We start from the raw sequence: 27061 nt of genomic DNA, 5'->3' as shown, positions 1-27061 counted from the left end.
GTAACATGCTGTGCAACAGATCTCTAAAACACATTCCTCCTGTCTAACTAAAATGTTGTACCCTTTGAACAACCTCACCCCTTTCTCATCCACCCCCCTCGTCCCCAGCCTCTGTAACCACCATTGTACTCTGTATGTCTGAGTTCAACTTTCTTGGGTTCCACATATAAGTGAGCTCATATGATATTGGCATTTCGGTGCCTGTTTATTTCACTTAGCATAATATGCTCCAGGTTCACCCATGTTGTCACAAATGACAATTTTCTTCTTTCTAAGGCTGAAAGTATTTCATTGTGTATACACACCATATTTTCTTAATCCATTAACCCATTGATAGACACTTAGCTTGCTTGCATATCTTAGCTATTGTGAATAATGAGACAATGAACATGGGAGTGTGGATATCTCTTCAAAATATTGATTCATCTCCTTTGGATATATACCCAGAAGTGGGACTACTGGATCATATGGTAGTCCTGTTTTTAGCTTTTAAAGAACCGCCATACTATTTTCCATAATGGCTGTATCAATTTACATTCTACCAACAATACATAAGAATTTCCTTCTCTCTACATTTTCACCAACATTCATTGTTTGTCTCTTTTATTATAGCCATTCTAACAGGTGTGAACTGATATCTCACTGTGGTTAAATTTGCATTTCCCTGATGATTAGTGATGTTGAGCATCTTTTCATGGATCTGCTGGCCATCTGTGTGTCTTCTTTTGAGAAATGTCTGTTCAGGTCCCCTGCCCATTTTTTAATAGGGTTATTTGTTTTCTTGCTCTTAAGTCGTTTGAGTTCCTCATATCTTTTTAATATTAACTCCTTATCAGATGTATGGTTTGGAAATATTTTCTCTGTGAGTCATCACTTCACTTGGATAACAGATGTTTTAAAGCTGCATTTTATTGCAAAATATCTTGTTATAATGTTAGGTTATTGCACAGTATTTTGTTATCAATTATTGAACTCTTTGGACTTAATATACCTCAACTCCAGAAATATCATTAAGCTGAAAAAAGCCAATCCTAGACATTCCAAGGAAAGGAACTCCTTTGACTGTATTAGTATCAATTTGAGAATTCAGAAAGGTAGGCGGATGCATTCATTCATTCAATAATATATATTGGGAGCCTACTATGTGGCAGACCCTGTCCTAGACATAAATAAATGGCCATGGTTCTGGCAAATAAGTAATTACAATGAAATAGAGTGGTCAGGAAAGTCCTCTGAGAAGAGAGATGTGAGACCAGACCTGAAGGATTAATAAATAAATAAATAAATAATCAGCTACACATAGAGAACAGAATGCAAAGTTCTAGATAGAAGGAACATTCTATGGGGGTGGCTAAAGCTAAGTGTGAGTAAGAGTACAAGGAAATGGTACCTTGCTGCTAGTGGAGGTATAAATGATGAACATTTTCAGTAGGGGGAGCAATTAGATAATTTTCTGTAGTAATTTCACTTCCAGTAATTTATCCTAAGGAAATTCTCAAAACTACAGTCAAAACTGCATATTGCCTCCCTGTAATTCATTCTTCACAGAGCATAGGCAAAGAGAATTTTTTAAAACCTAGATTAGTTTGTTCCAGTGGTGTGCTGGTAAACATTTAACAACTAGCTCTCTAGGGGAAGAGTAGCATCTGCTATAAACTCCTGTGTTATAAATATAGACAGTCCTGGGCTTATGATGGTTTGACTTATGATCTTTTGACTTTAGGAAGGGTTTAGATGGTGTTAAATGCAGTTTTGACTGATGATATTTTTCACTTACAATGGGTTGATCAGATTGTGTCCTGATAAATCGAGGAGAATCTGTAACTGTCTGCAACCCAGATCAAGCCACTTATCAACATGATTTCACTGAATAAGGAGCTGGGAAGAGACGTGCCAAGAGGCTCTCAGAAGCTCCCATGAGCCCGCTCCAGCACACCACTGAGTAGGCATCCCTCCGCTGCACGGAAGCCTCCAGTGCATGTCTCACACCTTGCAATGAAGTCCACAGTCCTCACCCTGAGCTCCGAAGTGTTCCCTGACCAGGTGGCTCCTGCCCACCTCCCGTAGCTCCTCCCACCACACCAAACCCCCTGCGCTCCCTGCTTCTGAATTTTGATTGAACTCCTCAAGTTCACTTCCACTTCAAGGTCTTTAACTTGCTCTTCCCCAGATCTCCCCCTTGTCATTCAGATGTCTGCTCACACATCACCTAACTCAGAAAGCTCCTCGCTGCCCACCCTACCTGAAGCTCAGGGCATCATCTTGTTGTATGTGATTGATAGCCTTTTCCATATCCAAACTTACCCTGCTTATTGATCATGTCTCCCATTAAAATTTAAATTCCATGAGATCAGACACTTGTCTGGTCTTGGTTACCCCTGTAATTTCTAGTATTTAAAAAAAAAAAAAATTGGCCAGTAGTAAGTACTCAATAAATATTTGTTACTGATAAACTGATTAATTTATAATAGTAAAAAAAATTAAGCCACTTAAGTGTCCAAAAATAGGGAAATGGTAAAACTAACATTTATGGATCATTTACTATCTGCCAGGAACTATGATAAGCACTTTATATGTCTCTCTCATTTAATTTGCACAACAGACCTATGAGGTGAGCACTATTATAATCACCACTTTACAGATAAGGACATACCCAGAGCGGTTAAGCAATTTGCCAAAGCCAGTCTGAGCCAAGTAGGAAAGTCAAGCCCAAGGTTGCTCCACAAGCCCAGCTCATCTTAGATTCCAGGGATGGGGACCAGGAAGCCTCACCTAGACCAATGAGCGTGGAAATGCAAACATGCCGGTCTCCAGTGCTTGCTGAGCTGTTAATAAGGTAGTTCTTTATTTCACATTTGGCTATTGCTTTTTACATTGGTCAAGAGCTCTTCAACAAGGAGGAATGAGAAGCAGGGCAGATACTAAGTTTATCTAAGTCCCTAGCTTAATGGTGACATAATATTATCAAAATCTCTCCCTGAACCTCAGCCATTAGCAATTACAAATGATGTTTTCAAACGATACTTAATGATATTGTTATAACGCTCACAGTATAATGAAAAGTGAAAGAAATAGAATAGAAAACTATATATTCTGTAAAATCTCCAGAAAAAGAAATTTAAAACACATTTACATGTATACGTAATGCTTAGAAAAAGACCAAAGATAAGCACATCAAAACATTAGCAGTGGTTGGGTTGGAGTGAGTGGATTATGAGTGATTTTTATATTATTCTTTATAAGCTCCTATATTTCCCAATTGTTTCACAATGAGCACGTCTTTTGTAATGAAAGAAAAAAATGTATATTGTTACATTTTTAAGTGGTTGAAGATTTTAAAGGCAATGGAATGCAAAATTAAGAGAACATGAAATGGCCTAGACAGAGCAGGAATGGGAGGCTGCAAATGGGTTACCTCAGGGACCAGGCAGAGATAAGGCAAGCTGGGAGGGATCTCAGCCTGAGAAAAAGCGAGGGAAGTGATTCCAAATCAGGAAAGCACAGGACAGAGAGCAGACAGTGCAGAAAGAAATCATGGAGTGGGGGTGGCCCTCAGGGTTTTGATCCCTTCACCCCATGCCTGAAGAGAAGCCCCAGGTTGGGGGATGGAAAGAGAGGCCAAGACACTCAAAGCTGAGTCAAGAAAAAAAGGTGACAATCCTCAAGGGTCAGGACTGAAAGAAACCTTGGAGCTCTGGAGGGCAGCACCATTCAAAACAGTAGCCAGGAGAGGTGTGCAGCTGCTGAGCGCCTGACACTGTGCCAGTCCAAACTGAGATGTGCTGGAAGGGTAAATTATACACAGCATTCAAAGACTTAGTGCAAAAAAATGTAAAATACTTTCTCAATAATTTTGTTTTGTGTTGAAATGATAATATTTTTGGTGCATTGGATTAAATAAAATATATTGATTTTACTTGTTTCCTTTTGCTTTTTTAACATGGCTACTAAAAATCTTAAAATTATACAGGTGGCTCAAATATTATTTTTATTGGACAGCACTGATCGAGACCAATCCTTTCATTTTACAGATGATAAAACTGAGCTAGTGAGGTTAAGGGGCTGGAGTTGTTTAGTGAAAGCCACACAGCTAGTTAGTGAGAGAGGGGAGACCAAAACTCAGACTTCCCACCACCCTATCCAATCCTGTTGCCTCCTCACCCAACATACACATCAAATGTTTAATTCTGGAAGCATTTAAATGACATATTTGGTTTCTCTGTGGAAAATTGATGTTATTTTTATCTGATGTTCTGTACACTTGGAACAACCAAAGGATTTTTTTTCTCAATGTCCTTTGTTACTTTGAAAACTGTCTTTGTGAAAACATTTTTTTGTTATTTTATTTTATTTATTTATTTTTATTATACTTTAAGTTTTAGGGTACATGTGATTCAGTTGAAACGATACATGAATGAAAACATTAAAAAATTTTTTTATTAACAGACATGCCAGTGGACCTGGGTGCTTGATGTTACTTAACACAGGTATCATTTCCACTTTTTCCCTCTGCTCCAAGCCACAGGGAAACTCAGCCATTTCCAGGGCCCTTGGCTTCAGGAAGGTCTCTTGATAAAAATTAAACTAGATCCCACCATTTCATTTAGGGGCATATTCTTTGTTTGCATTGGTTTTGTGTTGAAATGATAATATTTTTGGTGCACTGAATTAAATCAGGCCAAGGAGGTATCATCAGAAGTTACTAGGTGGGCTGTAGGGAAAGTTCTTCCAAAGGGGGCTGACTCCAATATCAGGCTTCCTTTTGCCCTCAGGTCTGCCACTTGGTCGATCGGCGATGCAGGAAGCCACACTAAAGATGGCAGGGTGGGCAGACCCTGTTGACATCAGAGAAGTGCCCCACCAGGCCCAGGCTGCCTCCTCCTGACTTGCTGTAATGAGAAAAATAAAACTGCAATTTGTTCTTCAGGTCACTCTACTCCAAAAGTCAAATAAAATTTCTGATACAGGAGCCCTGTATCTCTTATCTGTCCATCACATAGAATGAAAGGGTTTTAGGAGAAGACTATTTTAAAATGCAGGAATTTGCCCAAATCTCTGATTTGACCCAGTCAAAATCCTTGTACTAAAGAATCCTGCAGAATGCCAGGCAAAGCAGGCTCCATGCAACTGCAGAGACCTTCCTGAAACCAAGGGCCCTGGAAATGGCTGAGTTTCCCTGTGGCTTGGAGCAGAGGGAAAAAGTGGAAATGATACCTGTGTTAAGTAACATCAAGCACCCAGGTCCACTGGCATGTCTGTTAATATCCTGGACCAGGTCATGAAGGAAGTAGAAGCTACCCTACTTTTCTTTAACTTTTAACTGTCTGCAACCCAGATCAAGCCACCCAGCCAATCTCTGGCATCCATCACCCTGGAATATACCAATGCCATCTCAAAAGAACTCCTATTTTGGGAACCACCCTTTGAAAATGTCAAGAGCTGTGGGTGTCTTCAAAATGGTGAAATTACTTACCTCTGAGTTTCATGGTCAGTATATGTTGCCATCAAAACCGAGTCAAAACAGCTGGATAACCAAGACAGCATACACACTGCCACATCAAAACTCACTCCGCAATTTCAGCTTCTTACTTAAAGAAAACAACAACAATCTTCTATTGAAATTTACTTTAAAGCAGAGCTCCAATTTACCTTTTGTTTTACTTGCACAATTTGAATTCTTTTTTTTTTATTTTTTAAACATTTTTCCTAAAAAAAATTGAGAGGTATAATTCTTTGGAATATCATTTTTCTATTTCATATATGTAAAAGAAATCAATAAAATAAGTTATAGGAAAATTTGTTCCTGGTGTTATGCATGTGTGTGTGTTTCTAGAAATCTAATGTTATTATTGCAAAGCACATATTGTCCTATAGATGGTGAAAGTGAGGTTCAGGAAGGCTAAGTAACTTATGTAATATCAGACAGCTAAGAATTACTGGGTTCAAATCCAGATAATGCCCCCTCTACATCCAACTATCCCAGGACTCAGCCTCAGAGTCATAAGTTATGATCCAGTTGAGGGAGGAGAAAAGGAAAAACTAGTTGGGCAGACAGCTAAAGCTTGTCTTTGGTAAAATTCTTTCAAAATGAAAGACAGCCTGAAAAATCAAGCTACAGGCACAAATAGAGCAGCCTGGGGAAAACTCAGGCTGCAGCTGCACAGACAAGCAAGTAAGGCCCAACATAGCAGCCTTTGTTCTTGGTGTAATCAGTGGGCTCCCACAGAAAGGTTTCCTCCTCTTTTCGGGCATGTACACAGTGGGCTCCATGGGAACTTGCACAGGGAGGTGGGGGACCTACCCAAAACATAACCACAGTAACCCGAACAAGAGAAGCTGTGCTTTGTGCTTGCCTAAGGACATGCCCGCAGCTGCACAGATAAGGGGAATTACACAAACAGCTACAGAGATGAGGGGAGTTTCTTATAAAAGCTTTTGAATTCAACTGTAAAAAGGCAACCCTCTTTCGGGTCCCCTCTGTGGCAGAGGACTTTCTTCTTTTGCTTATTAAACTTTCGTTCTAACCTCACCCTTTGTCCACACTCCTTAATTTTTTTGGTCATGAAACGAAGAACTCCGGGTGATGCCTTACAACGAGAGACTGCTACATTGTGGTGCATTGGTAAGACTGTCACAGAATGAGCTCTGTCCCCTTACTGTATGTGCACAGAGATCCAGAACCTTTCAGAGATGTTCCAGTTGCCTTCTAACTGATCCAGAAAGGCAGCTTAGTCCCAGAAAAGAGTATGTAGAGGTCATCAGATGATCTCAGACAGTCTGCTGTGTCCCAAAAGGGAGATAGGGGGATTTGCTCCTGAAAAAGGCTGTGTCTGGCTGGGCAGGCCCCATGAGCACAAGGTACCTGCCCGCCCAGTTGCCATGGGTCTCAATCAATGGTTCTTAAACTAATCAATCACCTGAAGAGCTTGTAAAATATATACATCTATATACATCTTCCTGTTAAAACTTCACCTAAGATGAACTGATCTGAATCTTTGAGGGTTGGGGTCTAGACACCCATATTTTTTAAAAGCAGACTGGGAATGGGAAAGGCAGGGTCATTGGGCAGCTTACTGTGTAAATGGCTGTTCTGTCTTCCCGGCCACAGCCTGGGGGAAGCAGGACAGAGCCTAATAACAAACATGAGTAATAATCATACTAAGCACCTCACACACAACCCTGAATGCTGGTGTCCTCAGCCCCAGAAAGGTTAAGAGATGTGCCCAGGCTCCTGAGCAATAGACCCAGGCAAACTAATTCAAATGACTTTTCAGCTTCCACCAACTCTGCTGCCTGAAACTTCTTGAGAGGCGCCTGAGACAGCAGAGCTACGCATAGATGCTGGTGGAGATGAGGGCTCAAAGTAGGAAAGACTCAGAGCCTCCACTGTGTGGAGAGAGATTGGGCAGAGAGGCAGGCACCGCAACAGAGGAGCACCCTTGGGGAGCAAGTCCTGGCTGGTGTTCTAGATGGTTCTGGCTGCCCAGTATGGAGCAAACCAAAATAAGGACCACCTCTAATCCACATTAAAAAGGGCCCAGAGAGGTGAAGAGGCCTGGCCAAGGTCACGCAGCTTCCTATAGGTAGTTTCCTTTACAGAAACAATTCTTTTTTGTTTTTTTTAAGATGGAATCTCACTCTGTTGCCCAGGTTGGAGTGCAGTGTTGTGATCTCGGTTGACTGTAACCTCTGCTTCCCAGGTTCAAGCGATTCTCTTGCCTCAGCCTCCCAAATAGCTGGGATTACAGGCGTGTGCCACCATGCCCAGCTAATTTTTATATTTTTAGTAGAGATGGGGTTTCACCATATTGGCCAGGCTGGTCTTGAACTCCTGACCTCAAATGATCCACCCACTTCAACCTCCCAAAGTGCTGGGATTACAGGCATGAGCCACCGCACCCGGCCTCCTTTACAGCAACATTTCTTGAGCAACCCTATGTGAGCCTGGCCATGCACCAATGCCAGATTTAATGATATCCTTTCCAGGAGTGTGCATGTTATGAAAGAGGGCCATGGGTTAGAGTAATATTGATACGCAATCAGTCTTCCTGGGGTCAGTCCTCCCCATCAAAGGAACTTTGGTTTGAAAGCAGGCACCTCCCTGAGACAACTACACCCAACACAGCTTGGTGAGTGTCACTGTCCTGCAGCAGAACCAGAATCACAAACCCACCACTGGGGCCCAAGAGCAGCACACACCAACCATCACCACCACCTGGACACTAAAACTCCCATTCCTGCCCCCACTCCCAGCCTGTTTCTCTCCCCTACCCCACAGCAGGCACAAAGGGATCCCTGAAGGAACTTCTGAATTCACAAGCCTCTTGCAAGCGCCCCTCCACCCCACCCAGAAAGGCACCAGGGCTCTCCACTCTGTGCCGGATGCCCCTAGCTGAGCCACAGTGTCCCCAGAGCCTTGCCCTAGCTCTGGATAAAACCGAAGCTGTCAGCATGCTAATTAGGACCTTGAGAGGGTGGGCTCATGGACTGACAATTAATAACTCCATCTCTCTGTTTCCTGCTGGCATATTATTAATTCATCGGGCCTCTCCAGTGGGGCCAGAGAGATAACACAGACTGTGAAAGTTCACATTTCAATTTGAGGCTGAGATGCTGAGGAGGGGTGTTGAGAGAAGTGCCAGTCCTCCGGAGAGTGAGGGCATAGCGTGGGAAAGACTTGTCCACAGTCCCACTTCTAGGACTTGACCCTACAGAAATGAAAGTGCACATCCTAAAGGCATGTAGGGGAGGCTTACTACAGCACAGCTGGTAACTGCAAAGCAACTGGGAACATCCATTGATAGGGTTGCTGGAATAAACTGTGGTTCAGTCATGCTGAGGAATACTCTGCAGCGTGAAAGAGATGTTATGGACATCTTTCCAGAAATGGCCAAAGAAAGATGCACACCATATCCTGTAATTTTTAAAAACTAAAAGAATAAGAGCAAAACAAAGACCTATATGTGTAATATAATTTCATGTTCATCACAGAAAGAGGGAAGGGGAGGAGGGAGGGAGGGAGGGGGAATTTTTCCCAGCTTAAGTATAAACACAGGGGAAAGAAGCAACCATAACAGATGGCAGCTGGGGGAGGGGCTGAGATGAGAGAGGAGTTGAGATGGGGAGAGGTTGAGGTGGGGGAGGGGTTGAGATGGAGGAGGAGTTGAGATGGGGGAGGAGTTGCAATGGTAGAGGAGTTGAGGTGGGGGAAGGGTTGAAGTTGGAGAGGAGTTGAGGTGGGGGAGGGGTTGAAGTTGGGGAGGGGTTGAGATGGAGGAGGAGTTGAGGTAGAGAGCAGTTGAGATGGGGAAGTCTTGAGATGGGGAAGGGTTGAGGTGGGAGGGGTTAGGATGAGGAAGAGGCTGAGATGAGGGAGAAGTTGAGGTGGAGGGGGTTGAGATGGAGAAGGAATGAGGTGAGGAGGGGTTAAGATGGGGGAGGAGTTGAGATGGCGGTGGAATTGAGATGGGAGGGGTTGGGACGGGCAGGGGTAGAGATAGGGAAGGAGTTGAGATGAGTGAGGTTGAGATGGGGCAGAGGTTGAGATGGGTGAGGGTTGAGATGGGTGTGGTGAGATGGGTAGAGTTCAGATGAGGTAGGCTTGAGATGGGGAGAGGGTGAAATAGGGAGGCGTTGAGATGAGTGTGGTTGAGATGTTGAAGGGTCAAGTTGGGGAGACACTGAGATGGAGAGGGGTTGAGTTGTGAAGGGGTTGAGATAGGAAGGGATTGAGTAAGGAAGGGGTTGAGTTGTGAAGGGGTTGAGATGGGAAGGGGTAGAGATGTGAAGAAGCTGAGGTGGGAAGGGGCTGAGATGGGAAAGGGTTGAGATGGGAAGGGGTTGAGTTGTGAAGGGGTTGAGATGGGCAGCGGTTGAGCTGTGAAGGGTTGAGATGGGAAGGGGTTGAGTTGTGAAGGGGTTGAGATGTGAAGGGGTTGAGTTGTGAAGGGGTTGACATGTGAAGGGGTTTAGATGGGAAGGAGTTGAGATGGGAAGGGGTTGAAATAGGAAGGGGTTGAGTTGTGAAGGGGTTGAGATTGACAGGGGTTGAGACGGGAAGGGGCTGAGTTGTGAAGGGGTTGAGATGGGAAGGGGTTGAGATGGGAAGGGGTTGAGTTGTGAAGGGGTTGAATTGTAAAGGGGTAGAGATGGGAAGGGGTTGAGATGGGAAGGGGTTGAGTTGGGAAGGGGTTGAGATGGGAAGGGATTGAGTTGTGAAGGGGTTAAGTTGTGAAGTGGTTGAGATGGGAAGGGGTTCTGTTGTTAAGGGGTTGAGTTGTGAAGGGGTTGAGACAGGAAGGGGTTGAGTTTTGAAGGGAATGAGATGGGAAGGGGTTGAGTTGTGATGGGGCCATGATGGGAATGGGGTTGAGTTGTGAAGGGGTTGAGTTGTGAAGTGGCTGAGATGGGAAGCGGTTGAGATGGGAAGGGGTTGAGATGAGCTGGGTTGAGTTAGGGAAGGGTTCAGATGAGGAGGAGTTTAATTGATAAGGGTTGACATAGGAAGGGCTTGAGACGGATAGTGGCTGAAATGGGGAGGACTTGAGATGGAGAGAGGTTGGGTTGAGGAAGGGTTGAGATGGGGTAGGACTGGGTTGGGGAATTGTTGAGATGGAGTGACAGGAGGGGGATGCAGTTAGACCTGACCACCTGACCCCAGTGCACCCAAGCTGGGTGTGTCCAGCCAACACTGTCTCCACACCAGGAGCACTGTCCCCAGAACTGACCACTGGTCTGTCCTACTCCAAGAGCAGAAAGAGAATTTACTGAATTCCTCTGTTTTCTTTATAAATTTGGGAAGGGTTGCAGGTTCCTCATCACCTGATCAGCAGGCAGTAATGCTGCCTTTTTAGAACAGCAGTGAGGCTGAGTAGTGGGATGTGAGCACAGCTGCAGAGGGTCTGCAAGGAGGTCCCCAGGAGAGGCGGGGGCAGGGACAGAGGGGAAAGGGGGACAAGCCCTCTTCCTCACTCACACGCCAACCCTGCATGCCTTCATTCCCTCCCTGCTACAGGCTTCGAGAGAAAAAGAGGAAGAGAAAGATGGTTAAAGGAGCTAAAAGCAGAAGAGAAGAGAAGGAGGACAGTGTGGCTGGGGTATGAGCGGCTGAGGTGGGGTCCTCAGAAGGGTGCCCCACGCCCACCTCCTTCTCTGCGCCTCAGCCTTCTCACCTGCACCTTCAATGAGAAGTTATGTGCGATTAATTTTAAAGGTCTTTTCATCGGTGCCTGGAATTCTATAGGTGTCTAACTCTGCTTGGGGTCGGGGGGGGGAGCGGGGGTGTACAGCAATTTCATAAATATTTTTTTCAGCCAAAAAGGCCAAAGCGAATTCCTCCAATTATGTTCACCTCCTCCACAATGAGCACTTCCTTTTCTGCACGTGTCTTCACCCATCCCCTCACATCCAAGAGGAAAACGCCTTTGGCTCATTTGCAGCCATGGGTCCAGGCAAGCCCTTAAAGATGGCAAGGGGTTGCCAGTGGTCAGGGAGGGGGAAGGCCCTGGACTGCGGTGGGAGTCTCGGGGCGCTCATCGTGCCCTGCCAAGGCCCTTCTCCTCCTGGCTTCGCTTTCCTTTCTTGTGATGTGAGTGCTGACCACCAGGCTGCCCCAGCCCCTCCAGCTACACAGCGGAAAGCATCCCAGTGAGACTGCGGCTGCAATACACAGAAACAACCACTTGGGGGCACCATAAAAGAAGAAAAAATATCTCTTCTGAAAAAGAGGGAAAACAAATTGAGCAGCTGGCGCTAGAGGGCGCCGCTTTTCCCATTTTCTTCAAAAAGGTGGCTGGGGGCAGAATTTCCGAATCTTGACATGTTCAGAAGACTGAAGAGCCTCCTTCTACAGATATGGCCATGGGAGCAGAGTGGAGGCAGCCCAGCGCAAGGGCAGGGTGGGAGAGAGGGGACTGATTCACCTGAGCCTCCAAACAGGGAGGAGACTCTGATGGTACCACAAAAGGAAGCACAGAACGGGCCGATCCGGCTTGAGCACCAGGCTGCAGAGTCTTGGGGGAGAGTCCTCCCCCAAGGCCTGCCTTAGAAGGGAAGAACTGGGACAACAGATCTCCCCCAGCCCTTGCTCCCAGCACTGTGCTCTGGAAAAGATGGAAACCCTCTGCTTTCTCTCAGGGCATCCAATGGCTTCAGAAAGAGAAAGGGAGTGGCAGAGAGGTTATGCATTCGTTCTCTGCAAGAGATGAGAGTCGCCAGGCACTTAGCAGGGGGCCAGTCCCCCTCCTTCCCAGTACAGGACCCTCCTTGTCACAGGCGGTCTCCACTGCAAGCACAGAAAACCGCGCTGCTCGCGCACCACCTTGTTTATTCTCAAACCCAGTTCTCTAGGGAAGCATTTCTAGAACTGCGGAAGGTTGAAGGGAAAGGCGAGTCACCAGAGACCAGATCTAGAAACAGCCTCTTTTTTCTAATCCCGGGAGGACAGGTAAGGAAAATTCAAGGGTGTGTGCTGAAGTTCCCCAAAGGATCATCTTAAAGCAAATCTCTAGAAATCACCCAAATTGTGTCAGTTCCTAAGGGAAGCCCAATTCTCTGGATTCTCTGCACCTTCCTGCTCTGCTCAGAATTCCAAGAAAGCAGGGCATGTGCTCCGGTCTCTTCTTGGCTGGTGGTTTTCAAACTTGCTGTTGGTTAGTGATAACCCAGTGTGTTGAAGGCTCATGATTTCTGTGTTCCACTGGCATATGTTTTGGTTTCTGCAACCCTGTTATACTACAGCCCTAGGATCCTGAAATGCCTCGTCTCTGAGTGAGAAGGTTGGATTTTGCAGACCTGCAAACTCAGGTGCCTTCAGGACCAAGTCAGTCCTCTAATAGCCCTAAGGCAGTAGGGAATGGTGGGGAATACAGTGACCTGGAGACTTCCTGCCCCCTCTAAAAACATACACATTTAAATAAAATTAAAATATCCGATAATTCAACAAAGCACTCATATATAAGAACAAATTCTGCCATGCACCCTTTTGGCAATAGTGGTTCCACAGATTCCTGTATTCTAACAACCCGAGTGATGTCTGATGCTGGCAGCAGGTGGCAGCATGTGGACTGAGGTCTCCACTTAGTCTCACTAGATCTGCAGGAGGCTGGCCGCCTTTCAAAAGGCCAGCAAAAAAAAAAAAAAAATTGGCCCAATGGCCCTTAAATTCACCCATAAAGCTTCAAGGTTGAGACAGGTGTTGCCTTACAGAATATGTTGCTGATGCTGAATGCGGTGTGAATGCCAGTGAGACTGTTGTTTGAATGTGATCACCCCTACTAAGTCAGCATAGCTGCAGGGCACATGAGACAGAAGTGGGTGGGACTTGCAGGACTGGTTCCTCCTACCTTGTCACTCACCACAGTCCACTGACCTTCACATAAAGCACCAGCAGTCACCCAGGCTCTCAGGACCCCAGCTTCCTCACCTGTAAATGAAGCAGCTAGACCAGATGAATAATAATAATGATCATAATAATGGCTCATATGCACTGACTGTTGACCTTGTGCCAGGCACTGTGCATTCCCTCCTGTAGTCTCCCACATGCTGCTGTGGTCCGTTGATGTATACAGCTGATCCCAAGCCTAACTACAACCTCTGCACCTTGGGCTTCGGCAAACCTCTGATGCCTGTCAGTTTGAGATAATGACTTCTTGATCTGTACATATAAACATTGTTGTAGGGATGAGGCTGATGATGAAGGCACATGCGATAGATGTTTTTACGTAATTTGGATATGAACCTTTTTTATAGGGGTTGGCTAAGGTAGTAATGATGGGTAAGATTAAGGGGATTAGGGTTATTATGGTAGTGGAAAAATACATGTTTGCTACTTTTATTTGGAGTTGCATCAATGTTTTTGGTTCCTAAGACCAACGGATGACTCTAATCCTTTCAAAGTTGAGAAAGCCATGTTGCTAGGCATGGGGGCATGAGTTAGCAGTTCTTGTACACTTTCTCGGTAGACAAGAAGTTGCAGGCTTCTATTGTTAGATTCACAATCTAATGTTTTGGTTAAACTATAAGTGATAGCAAGTGACAGGCTCCTGAAGGTGAGGAACCAGACATCAAGGAGAAAAACAACCAAGCATCGGACTAAGTACTTTACATGCTGTTTTTCCTTCATAACAATTCAAAAAGGTTGCTGTACTCATCCACAATCTAGCAAAAGAGCAAAATGAGGCCCACAAAGGTTGGATATCTTACCCAAAGTCAAATAAGACATGGCTCTGTGGTGATCAAACAATAGCTTGAAGGAGGACAGTTCTCATACAACCTGTAAGTTAACCAACCTGTGTTTTACAGCTCATGAATCTCCACACCCCAGGGGCTGACCCTGGTCTAGACCTAGAGCCAGTGGTGTCCTGAGCTTCCTGGACTAGACCGTTTGGTATGGCTAGGGCTATCAGAGGCCAGGTGAACACATAGATCGTAACTATAACCATAGCCACTGTTACGGAACATTCATAAATATTCATTCACAAATAATTACTGAGGGCCCATATGTCAGCATTGCCCTCAGCACTGGGGATATGGAGTGAACGAGGCAGTCAAATCACTGATCTCACGGCACCAACATTCTTGTGGGGGTTGGTGGTCAACTGCATAGGTGATATGGCACAGTGACCAGGTGTCTATTTTAGACTGTGTGATGAAGGACAGCCTCTCTGAGGAAGTATCATTTGAGCTAAGGTCCAAATGGCAAGAATGAACCAACCCTGTTGAGATCTGGAGAAATATTCCAGGCAACGGCAGGAGCCAGGGTAGAGACATAAACAGGCATAGCCTAAATAAAAGGCGAGTGGGCAGGAGCACAGGGAACAAGGGAGAGAGTAGATGAGGCCAGGAGTTAAGCAAAGCTCAGGTCGGATAGGGCTTTATGAGCCAGCAAAAAGAGTTCATATTGTCCCTGCCTGTTGTGTCAATAGATCACATTCTCTTATTCTAGGGAAACAAAGATGCAAAGACACGTTAGCAGGCCATTGCAATGGTCCAAAGGATAGTGGCTTGGAAGAGATTGGTAGCAGTGGGGATGGAGAAGTGTTTGGACTTGGGATATGTTTGGGAGATGTTATTGACAGGGCTTACCACTGATCAGAAGTGAGGAAAAATGGAGAGAAATAAAAGATAATGAGAATATTTGGCTCGGACAACTGGAGAAATAGTGGTGCCATTTACTGAGATAAGGAAAAATGAGGGGCCAGACAGGATCAGAAGAGGATCAGGAGTTTTGTTCTAGCCACATTATGTTTTAGAAGCTGATTAGATAGACAACAGTGCAGAGATGCCAGACAAGCATTTGGCTTCAAGAGTCAAGGGTTCTTTGGAAATTTACATTTGAGAGTCATCTGCAGATATGTGGACCTGGTGAGGTCACCCAGGGAGGCTGTAGGCAGAGAAGAGGCCCAGAATAACCCTGGTGCTCATCAACATTTTGAGGACCCCCCACCAGACTATATGATCTAATAAATGTGGTCAAACTTTGCAACAGGCTTGCAAGGTAGGTATTATTTCTCTCCTCTACTCAAAAAATGCGGAGGTTACAAAGTGCCCAAGCCCACAATTTACAAGTAGCATTGCAAGAATTCAAGCATGAACTGAGTTCCCGTCATTTACCCAGTGCTGTGCCAGTTACTGTAGGGACACCAGTGAGTAGGATGGCTCAGTAGAACAAACATGGGCTTCGGAATTAGAGGACCTGGAGTGAATCCTCACTGGCTCTGTGATACTGGGCAGGTAACTTAACCTTATCAAGCCTCAGTTTCCCAATATGAAAAATCATGTTGTTGCTGTTGTTGTTGTTGTTTTTCATCTGCAAATGTCTACTGAGTGCCTATTATGTGCCCAACACAGTACTAAGTAAAGGAGACACAATGGGGAGCAGACAGACTTCTCTGCTTACAATCTAGTGGGGGACACAGACATGTAAACAGGCAATTACAATGTAGTGTGCTAAGTACTATGATTATGGAAATACCCCCTCCCTCTTTATAGAGTAAGTCATACCAACCTACGCAGACTTTAAAGTTACACATAATTTCCTTTCTTCCAGACCCATATGCAATAATAGTGCCATACAAAATGTTTCTGTTCTTCATCATGGTACCTATTATTTCCATTAGAATAAATAATACATGCAAATCACCTACCATATAGCCAGTGCTCAATAAATGGTGGCAGTCATTATCAAGACATAGGTTTTTGACCTAGTACCACCTCTAACTTCGGAGCTCATTTTTCTCTCCTGTAAATTATAAATAATAACAGCTAATTCATGAGGTCATTGTGAGGCTCAGATGAGATCATATGTATGAAAAATGTTTTAAGCTGGAGAGAACTATATTAAAGTATTAGTAAAACATTGTGACATGCCCACTTGCTAAAGTTATAAAACTTAGTACACAATAAACACTTGGTGCTAACCAAGAGGTCCTCATCACCTGAAAAGTGGGCCTGAGGAAACCTTTAAATAGGTTCTTAGGAAAACAACATTCTGTACAAGAAAATCTGCTTCATCTGAAATCACCTAAAGTACTCCTTCTCCCATCAGCATTTGGCTTACCCAGCCAAAGACAAAAAAAAAATGCAGGAGACCTCCCAGGTTGGTTTCTAGTCTGTTTCACTATCACCAGGGTCCTGACTCAGTGTCTAGGAGACAGGATTTGTAAAGCTGGTGGTATGTGTCCCAGGCTTTCACCTGTATAAGCAGTGGACAGGGCCTTGGGAGGAGCAAGATGCTGTCAGGGCTGCCCACAGAGAACCCTGCCTGATTTCCCACTACAGTAAATCCAAGCCCTGGGAAAGGACCAGGCTGCCCCTGTCCTAGAGCCAAAGGGATCCTGTCTAAAGAACATAAGTCAGGAGAAGCTGAAAGGCAGGAGACAGAAGGGAGGAAAAATTTCCATCTCTACAAAGTGCATGCAGATCCTGGGCAGCCCTGAAGTGGGGCAGAGAACAGACTCCCCACTTCCACTGCTGACTATTCAACTGGAGGACTCTGCAGTCAGCAACCTGTACAACCACACAGTGGACACAGGGAACTCAGCTGCCTCCTTCCCTGGAACTTAGCTGATTAGAATGGATATCAATTCCCCTCAATATGTTTACTTCATCATTCTTTCAGCAAACACTTATTGTGAGTCAACTGCACACTAGGCACTGTTTTGGACCCTGAAGGTAAGACAAAGGCCCTGCTTTCAAGAAGCTTGCACTCCAGTGCAAAATATCTGTGCTTGTATGTATGTGTGTGTGTTTGTGTGTCCGTTGGGGAAACAATAAGGGCTATGATGAAAAATAAAGCAAAATAAAGAGGGAAAGAGAGTGACAATGGGGGAATGCTATTTAAATAGGGTGATCAGGAAGTTCTCTCTGAGCAGAAACCTAAATGAAATGAGAGAGGAGCCATCCTGATAAATGGGAAAAGCATTCTAGGCAAAGGGACCAGCAAAAGGCAGAGGCCTGATGTGGGAGGTCTGAGTACATTCAAGGCATAACAAGGGACCAGTGTAGCCAGTGCAGAATGAGTTAAGGGGAAAGATGAAGAAATCAAACCAAAGACATTCATGCATCTTTAGGAGGCTGGCTGGGCAGGGGGAAGAGGGAGAAGATGGAAATCATGCACTGAGCTAAGGACTGATATGAAATATTTCTTAAGACTCTTGGACAGAAACTACTTGTTCTACCTTTCTAAATCCTTTGTGAATCAAAAAAGAAAAAGTAAGGATCTTTAGCTGCAGTTGGGGAAACAGAGTCTAGCAGGGAGGGGCAGAGGCAGGGAGGCTCATTAAGAGGTGGTTGACATTATGATCTTGGGCAAGTGACTTAAACTCTCTATCCCCCAAGTGCAAAAATGGGGACAATAATGGTAATAATGGTACCAGCTTCAATCAATTATTACATGGATAAATTAATTAATATTTATAAAGTACCTAGAATAGTGCTGGGCATCTAGTATCATATACGTGTGTGGAATAAAAATAATAAAAGGTGCTTGGACCAGGGAGACAGCAGCAGAGGTGGTGAATGGTGATCTGATACATTTTGAGGGGGGAGACACTGGGGATTGGCAAGAATTGAGTGTCAATGTGAGAATCAAAATGACTTCAACATTTCTGGCCCCAGCAACAGAAAAAATGTAGGTTTAATGAAAGAGAAAACTACAAGAGAAGCAGGTTTGGAGAGAAATCAATATTTTGATGTTAGACATGTTCAGCTTGAGATGTCGATGGATGTACAAGTAAAGATGGTGAATAAGTGGGTGGTATCTTAAATTCAGGGAAGAGGTCCTGAGTACAGACACCAATTTAGAGGTCAGCAGTATACGATGCTAACCAAAGGTCTGGGACTGGGCAAGAGCACTAGGAAGTAAGCACTGGTGAGAAGAGAACAGGCTGAGGACCAAGCCCTGGGACATCCAGTGTTTAGTAAGGATTGGGAAAAGGAAGTGGAAACTAGCAAGAGATTGAGAAGCAACCCACAACATAGGAGGAGAACCAAGAGTGGGTATCGTAAAAGCCATGTGACAAAACACTTTCACCTGTACTCCTAGCTCAGGAGGCTGAGGCAGGAGGATTACTTGAGGCCAAGAGTTTGAGATCAGTCTGGGCAACACGGCAAAATCCTGTCTCTAAAAAAACATAAAATATAAAAAATAAGGACAAAAGAGTTTCAAGAAAGAGGAAGTGATCAAATGTTGCTGCTAGGTCAAGGAAGATGGACACGAAGGAACACCCATTGGATTCTGCCTTGGGAAGGCCAATGTCACCATGTCAACAGCTGTTTGTTTGCCTGGGACAAAGACCTGATTGGAATGGGTTCCAGAGAAAATTGTAAGAAAAAAAAATGGAGACAGAATAAACAAAGGGGCTCATTTTTCTCTACATGGGCAACAGACTCCACATGGAACTTGAGGGGTGGTCAGTCCACAGTAACAGAAGGTAAAGGCCTGGTACCAGGGACCAGATGCAGCAGGCGGTCAGTGCAGTGGATGGAGCCTGTACATGCCTCTCCTGATTGCTGCTATTTTCCCAGTGAAGTAGGAAGGCAATTGTAGTCATGAGCTAGGAGCGAGCTGGCAGGAAATGATGGGATTTGAGAGTTAAGGGAAAAGCATGTGAAATAATCTCTAGAGGAGTGTGAGAGTGAATAGAAAAGGGAAAAGTAGTAAGATTTCTGGGCAGGACTAAGGGCCAACTGGAGGTGGCAGTCATCAATTCACAGTGAGGTCAATCGGCGTGGTTGTGACTTTTTCTATAGCTATGGTCACCTGCCCATATGTACATGAAGAATAGGGGAAAGTGGGATTTAGCAGGGCTGAAGTCTTGCCAGACAAGGTATAACAAAGCAGCAGAGGGACAACAAAGTTGAGGGTGAAAATAAGGAGATTATAATGATGGTGAAGCATGAAGTACACTAGAAACCAACTTGAGCTCCAGCATTCTTGCCCTTTGTGGATGATTCATTCTATCTTAGAAGTTGGTAGAAGAAAGAGCTTGAGAGGGTAGGAGGAGACTTCAAGTGAAAGGTCACTATTTTATCTGGAAAATATGTTTGGTGCTTATGATGGAGTTCAGTTTGATAAGATGGGAAATGGTGACATGACTGGGGAAGGGGATAGTGAAAAGGTAATAGGATCAGTGTCTTGTGGATGCAGTAAGATTAAAGAATCTTGGGAACTGAGCACTAGAGGGAGTGGAGAGAAAAGAGGGGGTGATCACACAGTGGGATGCTTGAAACCGAGATTATGGAGTAATGCAGTTACGACAATGTCCAGGCAGACCATGGAGGTGAGCTGTCAGCAGGAAGCAAGAAGGCAAAGTCACCAAACAGAAGGGGCTAAGGAACCAAGAGGTCAGGGTGCAGGAAGGGTCATCTACATGGATACTGAAATCACTAAGAACTGCCAGCAGCTGAAGACGTGGGGAAGAGAGGCAGTAAACCCAGGGCTAACCCATTCTTCCTGGAATGAAGCAAGTGACTTGGGAGTTTGTAGATGGTGGCAACGAGGGGTAGTAGGTGGTATTATCTGATGACATGCACGCCACAGCTGGCATTTTTAGGACAGGAGAGGGGAGTAATGGTCTGGAAGCAATAGTGAGGAGCAAATTGCTTCTCTAGACTCCAGGGTCCAAGGCAGCGTGGAAGGGAAAGCAGCTGTCACATGAGGCAGCTGCAGAGCAAGCCGCATTCCTGGGGGGAGGCTCCAGCAGAAATAAGAGAGTGAAGGGGACTTCCAGAGAAGATGAGGAGGATGAACAGGACTTTGCTGATGATGAAACATGAGTGCCAGACAGTGTATTAGTGAAACCGTGCCCCAAAGAGTTAAAGAGGCCAATGACTACATTCTTTGGCTTACAGGATAGCAGATAAGAAAAGAAACAACCTGCTGAAAAGCTGAAGCTGAAACTGTGCCCCAAAGAGTAAGAAACCAATGACTAACAGATATTCTTGAGCTTGCAGAATGGCAGATAAGAAAAGAAACAACTTGCAGAAATGCTGAAATTCCCCACAACGTGAGATCAAGAAAAAACTGGCTGACATCGGTTGGAACCAAGATGGCCTGGCCTACTGGCGTCTGCAGAACAAGCCTGCTGACACCACAGCCTGAACTTCCATGACATGTTTCATACTAAGTCCTCAAGAATTTTCACATGCGACCTGTGAGGTAGCATGAAGAGATAACTGAGCATGTCCAAGGACTTTCCAGACCTCCCCTTTCCCTCCACCAATCACTTACTAATCCCTTGAACCTTTTCTAATGAAAATACTGCCTTGAAGCGAGGACAGAGAGACAGATTTGGGCTTGACATCCCGTCTCTTTGTGAATTGACATGCAATAAAAAGCTTCTCTTCTCAAAAACCCAGTGCTGTAGTATTGGCTTCTAGTGCCCCGAGCAGCAAGCCCTCTTTGCTCAGTAACATTAGGGTTCGTAGAACTGGGGAGGGGTGTGGAGAAGATCAAATTAAGGCATGTACAGAGCCATGAGGCTAAGGAATTTGGGTGGTGAGGGGAAAAGCCATGATGAGGCCGTGAGTGTTGGGGAGCAGAGAAGGATGGGGCAACATCACTGTCTCTATCACTTCCCATTTTCTTTTCAACCCACTCCAACTGGGCTACTGACCCCATCGCCCTGTGGAAACTACTCCCATTCAGGTCATCTCTGTGTTGCCAAAGCCAGTGTTTCCTTCTCTATCTTCATTTTATTTGACCTCTCAGCAACATTCTATGGAGATGATGACCTTCCTTCTGAACACACCATTTTCCTTACTTCTTTGTCCCTATACCCTCTGGTTACCCTCCCACCTCCTTCTACTCCTTCTCACCTCCTTCATGTGCTCTTCCTCCACTGCCACACCCCTAAAGGCTGACATTCCCCAAGGCCATTGATGTGTGTACCCTGGTTTACCTCTTCATGGACCTGCCCAAGTGAAAACAGTCTCCCAATCATCCCCGCCAGCACCCCAGGTAGGTGGCTGGTACTAGATCTTGACATCCTCCAATCAGTAAAGTTTAACTTAGAGACATAAAAGTTATTTCCACATTGCTAGTCATGGTAAAGCTAGTTTTTCATTGAGTATTGTGGGATTTTTTGGGTTAGGCCAGATGATAGGCATTGAGTGACATGAACAATGTGCATGACAGTCTCAGCCCTCAAGTTGTTCAGGGTCCTCTTAGAAAGATAAGATGGAGGTGCATTAAAAAATAGTACTTCTAAATATGAAGAAAGGCCAGCTATCAGAGCTGCATTGTATTTAAAGGAAGTCTACTCCCTCCTACTTGTCTTTCGAAGTCATGATGAGGTGACTTACTCAAGGTCACACCACTAATTAGGTCACCCTGGGAATTAGACCCAAGTCTCCAAACCCCAACACCAGTGCTCTTACCATGGCATCTCAATAGGTTGTTGAGAGAAGTACTTTGAGAGTTAGAATGAAAGGCACTGTGCCATCATGGTTAAAGGCATGGATTCCACAACCAGACTGCCAGGGTTCAAATTACTAATTAATATCAAATCACAGTAACAATGCGGTTGTTATCCACGTGACCTTGAGAAAGTCACTTAACTTCTCTGTGCCTCATTGGTTACATGTGGCTAATAACTGTACCTACCTCATAGTTATGGTGAAGATTAACATGAGTGGATATATGTAAGGTGCTTGGAATGTTGCCTGGCACTTAAAGACAGGTATGCAAGGCTCTAAATACTAATAGTGCTGAGAGATGAACAACCAAGAGATTTGTTGAATGCTGGCTGTGCCCAACTCCTCTCTGAATCCCAGGAGCCCGGCATACATTCGGACTCACTGAATGAATGAATGAGCGAACTAACAAACATTAACATCCTTATGAAACAGAGATCAGCTCATTTACCCCTACTTGTATCATCCAGAACATTCACTGAAACCAAGTAGGTAAATCCCACCACGACCACCACCATCAAAATACATCTGTGACTAATCTCTTTGTACTTGATGACATCTAGCAAGTCAACAATCTAAAGCAAGAAGAGATGAAGACATACAGACCACAGGGCATGCCAGCATGCCGAGTAAACTCCGGCATCCACAGGACAAAGCAAAGTCCTTCTATGGAGCAAAAACCTGGGGCAACCGAGAGAATTAAGTGAAATCCCATCTTCCTTTAATTTAGGACTCCTAAGAAGAAAAAGCCAAAATTCTCAACAGGTGTGAATTAAAGTTGGCCTTTTGCCCTACACAAACAGAGCAGAAATAAAGCCAGGAGTGGCCACACAGATCTTGGACATTTTCCTCCATCCACTGGAGATGTGCCCAAAATGTAATCATTCATCCAAGGAGGATATTAAAAAGGCAGGGTTAGCTGCAGTTCCTGAAGTAAAGATGAAATAGATGATCCACGTTGTGAAGGATTCTCCCTGGCTTTCAGGAAAGCTCAGAGAATGAAACAGACCCCAGTTCTTTCTCCACAGGCTCTTAGTAAAACAAGTGAGCCTTGGGGGCAAGGCTGATTCACCCACATCTGACAGCTGAACGCCTCAGTGAGGCTGGACGAGGCCTACAGCCGGGTGGTGAGATCAGGGACTGACCACGAGGACCTCATCCAGAGGGTCCAGCCTCTCGTTAGTCGCAGCACAGCGAAAGCATCTCCCGACCCTCCAGGGCGGCCTCACGGGGCCCATCCGCTCCAGGAACCCACCCCGACCTCAGGCCCAGCCAGCCATGCCCGCCCCCGCGTCCCCGCCATACTCACTCCCATTCCTTGCGCCGGGCCTGCGGGGTGCTCTGCATCTTGTGCGCCTCGTGGGCCTTGATGATGTCGCGCTGCTCGATGAGGCCCCCGCGCCGCCGCTTCATGACCTCGGGGCTCACCGGCAGGAAAGGGCTGGAGCCCGCCTCCAGTGCCATGGCGCCCTCCCAGCCCTGGCCCTCGCCCTCCTGCACCTGGAAGAAGTTGTCGAAGCCAGAGGCGGCGCGCGGGGAAGCCGGCAGCATGCCCACCTCGTCCGAGGCGTCGGCCTCGAGCAGAGCGCACTGCTGGGGCCGCCATGCCTCTTCTTCCGGCAGGGCCAGGACGTGGCGTTGGCGGCGGCCCGCGGACCTGGGCTCAGGGCTCCCCGCAGCCGGGCAGGGGGCGGGCTCGGGCAGCCTGCGGTCTGGGCTCAGTCCACGCATCTCGGGCACCATCACAGAACATTGCTCTGTGGGAGGGAGAGGGCAGAGACAAGGAGTGGGGAAGGGAGGGAGGGAGGAAGAATGGGGCCAAGGTCACAGGGAAATAGAGAAGAGAAAGAAAGAGGTTAATGGCATTGCCTTCCAGGCCAAGGCTTCTGGCTTGCTCAGTGCTACATCCCGGGCCTGACCCACAAACTGGCACACAGTGGAGCTCGATAAATGATGTTGAAATTAGGAGCATCCGCGGCGGACCAGGCTGGGCCCCCAGGTGTCCAGAATTTAACAAAGTGGACTGGATTCTTGCCCTCATAAACTTACAGTCTACTGCAGAAGACACAGATTAAAGAAATAATGATATGCCGCGTTGGTAAGGTTTAGAGGTGCTGCAATAAGGAGAGAACTCCGAGGGCCGCACATCTCAGCCCCACCTCGGACAGCTAGCTGGCTGTTCCCTCCCATTTTTGGTAGAAGAATCCCTCTAACCCCTTCCCCAGGGCCCACTCTGGGGGGATTGCCACCACCACCTGCTGCCCTGCCTCCCAAGTGCGTGCCTGGGGGCACCAAGCCACAAGGTGGTCTCTCCTTTTTTTTTTTTGAGATAGGATCTGTCACCCAGGCTGGAGTGCAATGGTGCAATCACGGCTCACTGCAGCATCAACCTCCCAGGGTCCGGTGATCCTCCCGTCTCAGCCTCCTGAGTAACTGGAACCACAGGCACACACCACCACATCCAGCAATTTTTTTATTTTTTGTAGAGATGACGTTTCCCCGTGTTGCCTAGACTAGTCTCAACTCCTGGGCACAAGCGATCCTCCTCACTCAGCCTCCCAAAGTGCTAGGATTACAGGCATGAGCCTCTGAGCCCAGCCTAAGGAGAACTCTTCTTGAGAACTGGGTCCTGTATGCAGGTTCCTTCCTCCTTTTTTAATGCCTGTGCCTGCCTCAGGACCTGGGGCCACGTGTGACTCAGATGCCCCTGCTGCTCCCCTTGGCATCATTCTCCTTTTCCATGCCAAGGAGGACATAACCAGATTGGCCTCTGAAAGACGTACGTATTCAATCAGCGTTGACTGAGAACTTACCATGTGCAAGGCACTGTGCCAGGCACTAGGCACAACAACATGAGCTGGACTTAGTCCACATCATCCTCATGGAAGAGGCAGGAAGAACATCGATTGTGACCACATCACAGAATGTGCTATGATTGGCGTAGGCCTGATTGCTAGAGGAGCACATGAGAGGCACACCTGGCTGGGCGCAGTGGCTCACGCCTATAATCCCAGCACTTTGGGAGACCAAGGCGAGCAGATCACTTGAGGTCAGGAGTTTGAGACCAGCCTGGCCGACATGGTGAAACCTAGTCTCTACTAAAAATACAAAAATTAGCCAGGTGTGGTGGCGTGTGCCTGTAATCCCAGCTACTTGGGAGGCTGAGACAGGAGAATCGCTTGAACCCGGTGGGCAGAGGTTGCAGTGAGCTGAAACCGCACCATTGCACTCCAGCCTGGGTGACAGAACAAGACTCCATCCCAAAAAAAGAAAAAAAAGAGGGGCACCTAGCCCAGCTGGGGTTGGTCAGGAGGGCTTTGTGAAGGAAAGGACCCTGGAGCCGGGTTAAACAGAGTTTGCCAGTTGAAGAACAGGAGAGGAAAACAGGCAAAAGGAAGAGCATGTGCATGAGAGAGGATTTAGGGAAACCAAAGGATTCTTCCTGCCTCCCTGGTCACTCCTCTCTCCTCCTTTGTGCACTGTTCCTCCACTACTACACCCCTAAAGGTTGAGTCCAAAGCCATTGAGGTGTTTTCCCTGTTTTACGCCTCATGGACCTGCCCAAGTGAAAGCAGCACTCCAGGTGGGTGGCTGGTACTAGATCTTGACATGCTCCAATTAGCAAAGGTTTAACTTAATGAGAGACGTAAAAGTTACTCACACATTGCTAGTCCCCACAGCAGGTCTAAGTACTGGGGGGAGTCCTTGTGGCTTGAGAGGGCCTGAACTTACCACCTTTTCAAGATACCTGCTTATTGCCTCCCTCCTAGCCAGGAGCCCAAAACCAGAATTCCTCCCAACCACACGTCTCAGTGACCACAGGTGGCATCTAAGAAGTGTCCCGTGCTCTACATGCTCAGAGGAACTCTGGCCTCCAGATCATTCAACCAGTGTTGGATGGTTGAGCACCCACTATGTGTTGGGAGCTGTACTGGGCCCCCAGGGTGGCATCCTCCCAGAAAGTTGCCCTCCAGACACCATCTCCCACCCCGCCTTCCCTGGGTTGGACGGCAAGTCAAATTGCAAGTCACAAAAACAAAGACTATTTCAATGGTTAGGAATTATAATGATCTAACCATATCATTTTATGGATGCTGAGGTCCACAAAGGTAGAGAGCCCCACCCAGGATCACACTGCCAATAAAAAGCAGAGCTGGGAGAGAACTCAGATTTCAAGTCCTAGCTTATGGTTTTCTCCACTATATTGATCACAGTGTCTCTACCACATGAAGCAGAATCCATAAATGCCTCTCCCAGCCCCCCTCCTCGTTATGCTAAGATAATAAATAGAAACAAAAAGTCTGGATGAGAGGATGATCTTAGCGCATACATGATAAAGCCTGATGGGAGCATTCAGTAGACTCGGACGCCCCTGGAGCCCTAAGATACCTTCTCTATTCGTCCCCTTCTCCATCTCCAGCATCTGGACTGGTCTTCCTTGCCCTACCAGCACCACACCCTAAGGCCTCAATGCTTTTGAGCTTGAAGCTCCCAGGACATGGTAGCCAACACTCGGTACTTGGCCACCAAGGCCAGGTCAAGGGATCAGGGAGAAGGAAGATAAGGAGTCCAGAATGAGCTTGGTAAGGAGAAGAAAATGTATTCCAAATCATGCCAACAGCTGGGTGGGTCCCTAGAAAGAGTGATTCACGTTCCTCACGTTGTCATTCTGTCTCAACTCCCCTTGAGGGATTTTAAATTTATCCTTCATTCCTACGATGTTTAAATGTCTCTCCCTCACCACATGCACGCGCACACCCCTCCCCTGCTGCTCCCACTCCCTCCCCAGGCCTTAGCATCTCCAGCAACTCCAAGAATTCTCAGGCCCTGCTGGCTGCAGCCTCCTTTCCCTCGTGTCTGTCTGTGACAAAGGCTCCTGGGCCACCCTCCCAGCTCTCACCAGGCCACCAGTACCTGGCTCCCCACCTCTGTTTCCTGACCCATCCCACCCTCTCTCCTTACATGATTTCCTCTTCCCAGACACTTTGCCAATTTGAATCACATCTTTGCCAAAATTACAACAGCAATAATATGCACTGCGGAGCTCCAGCTTTATGTTATGAATATCAAAATATGAAATTATCTCATCTTTCCTTTAAGAATTTCTGTTAAACAACCCTTCTATTATTGATACAAATGTTCACCA

At 46.2% G+C, this 27061-nt stretch overlaps 1 protein-coding gene and 1 long non-coding RNA gene across 13 annotated transcripts in view, besides 3 other annotated features; both read right to left on the bottom strand.

Moving 5' to 3' along the window:
• CACNA1E (calcium voltage-gated channel subunit alpha1 E) overlaps window positions 1-27061 on the bottom strand; it is a 490386-nt gene that overhangs the window by 371280 nt on the left and 92045 nt on the right. For all 11 annotated transcript variants that reach the window (XM_017002244.2, XM_017002243.2, XM_017002249.2 and 8 more), the window contains exon 2: window positions 23225-23672. In XM_017002244.2, coding sequence (XP_016857733.1) covers window positions 23225-23658 — 434 coding nt within the window. In that variant the 5' untranslated portion in view covers window positions 23659-23672. The remainder of the gene's footprint in view (window positions 1-23224; window positions 23673-27061) is intronic.
• LOC107985232 (uncharacterized) lies at window positions 4416-17064 on the bottom strand. 2 transcript variants are annotated; one of them, XR_001738319.2, is made up of 3 exons: window positions 13370-17064; window positions 5474-5588; window positions 4416-4889 (listed from the first exon to the last, which is right to left on the bottom strand). It is a non-coding gene; the product is annotated as an uncharacterized LOC107985232 (long non-coding RNA). The 2 variants fall into 2 exon arrangements; XR_007066763.1 differs by lacking the exon at window positions 13370-17064 and having other exon boundaries at window positions 5474-8949.
• Window positions 6224-6503: an enhancer, noted in NCBI's record as "active region_2188". NCBI's record gives its function as "activates an Ori minimal core promoter by ATAC-STARR-seq in GM12878 lymphoblastoid cells {active_cell/tissue: GM12878}" and the evidence as "EXISTENCE:reporter gene assay evidence [ECO:0000049][PMID:35858748]".
• Window positions 11943-12032: an enhancer, noted in NCBI's record as "active region_2187". NCBI's record gives its function as "activates an Ori minimal core promoter by ATAC-STARR-seq in GM12878 lymphoblastoid cells {active_cell/tissue: GM12878}" and the evidence as "EXISTENCE:reporter gene assay evidence [ECO:0000049][PMID:35858748]".
• Window positions 13012-13061: an enhancer, noted in NCBI's record as "active region_2186". NCBI's record gives its function as "activates an Ori minimal core promoter by ATAC-STARR-seq in GM12878 lymphoblastoid cells {active_cell/tissue: GM12878}" and the evidence as "EXISTENCE:reporter gene assay evidence [ECO:0000049][PMID:35858748]".

This window comes from Homo sapiens, chromosome 1 (assembly GCF_000001405.40).
Source record: "Homo sapiens chromosome 1, GRCh38.p14 Primary Assembly".
NCBI classification, from domain to species: domain Eukaryota; kingdom Metazoa; phylum Chordata; class Mammalia; order Primates; family Hominidae; genus Homo; species Homo sapiens.
Note: the sequence above shows the minus strand (reverse complement) of the source record. Positions and strands in the feature narration are given on the sequence as shown.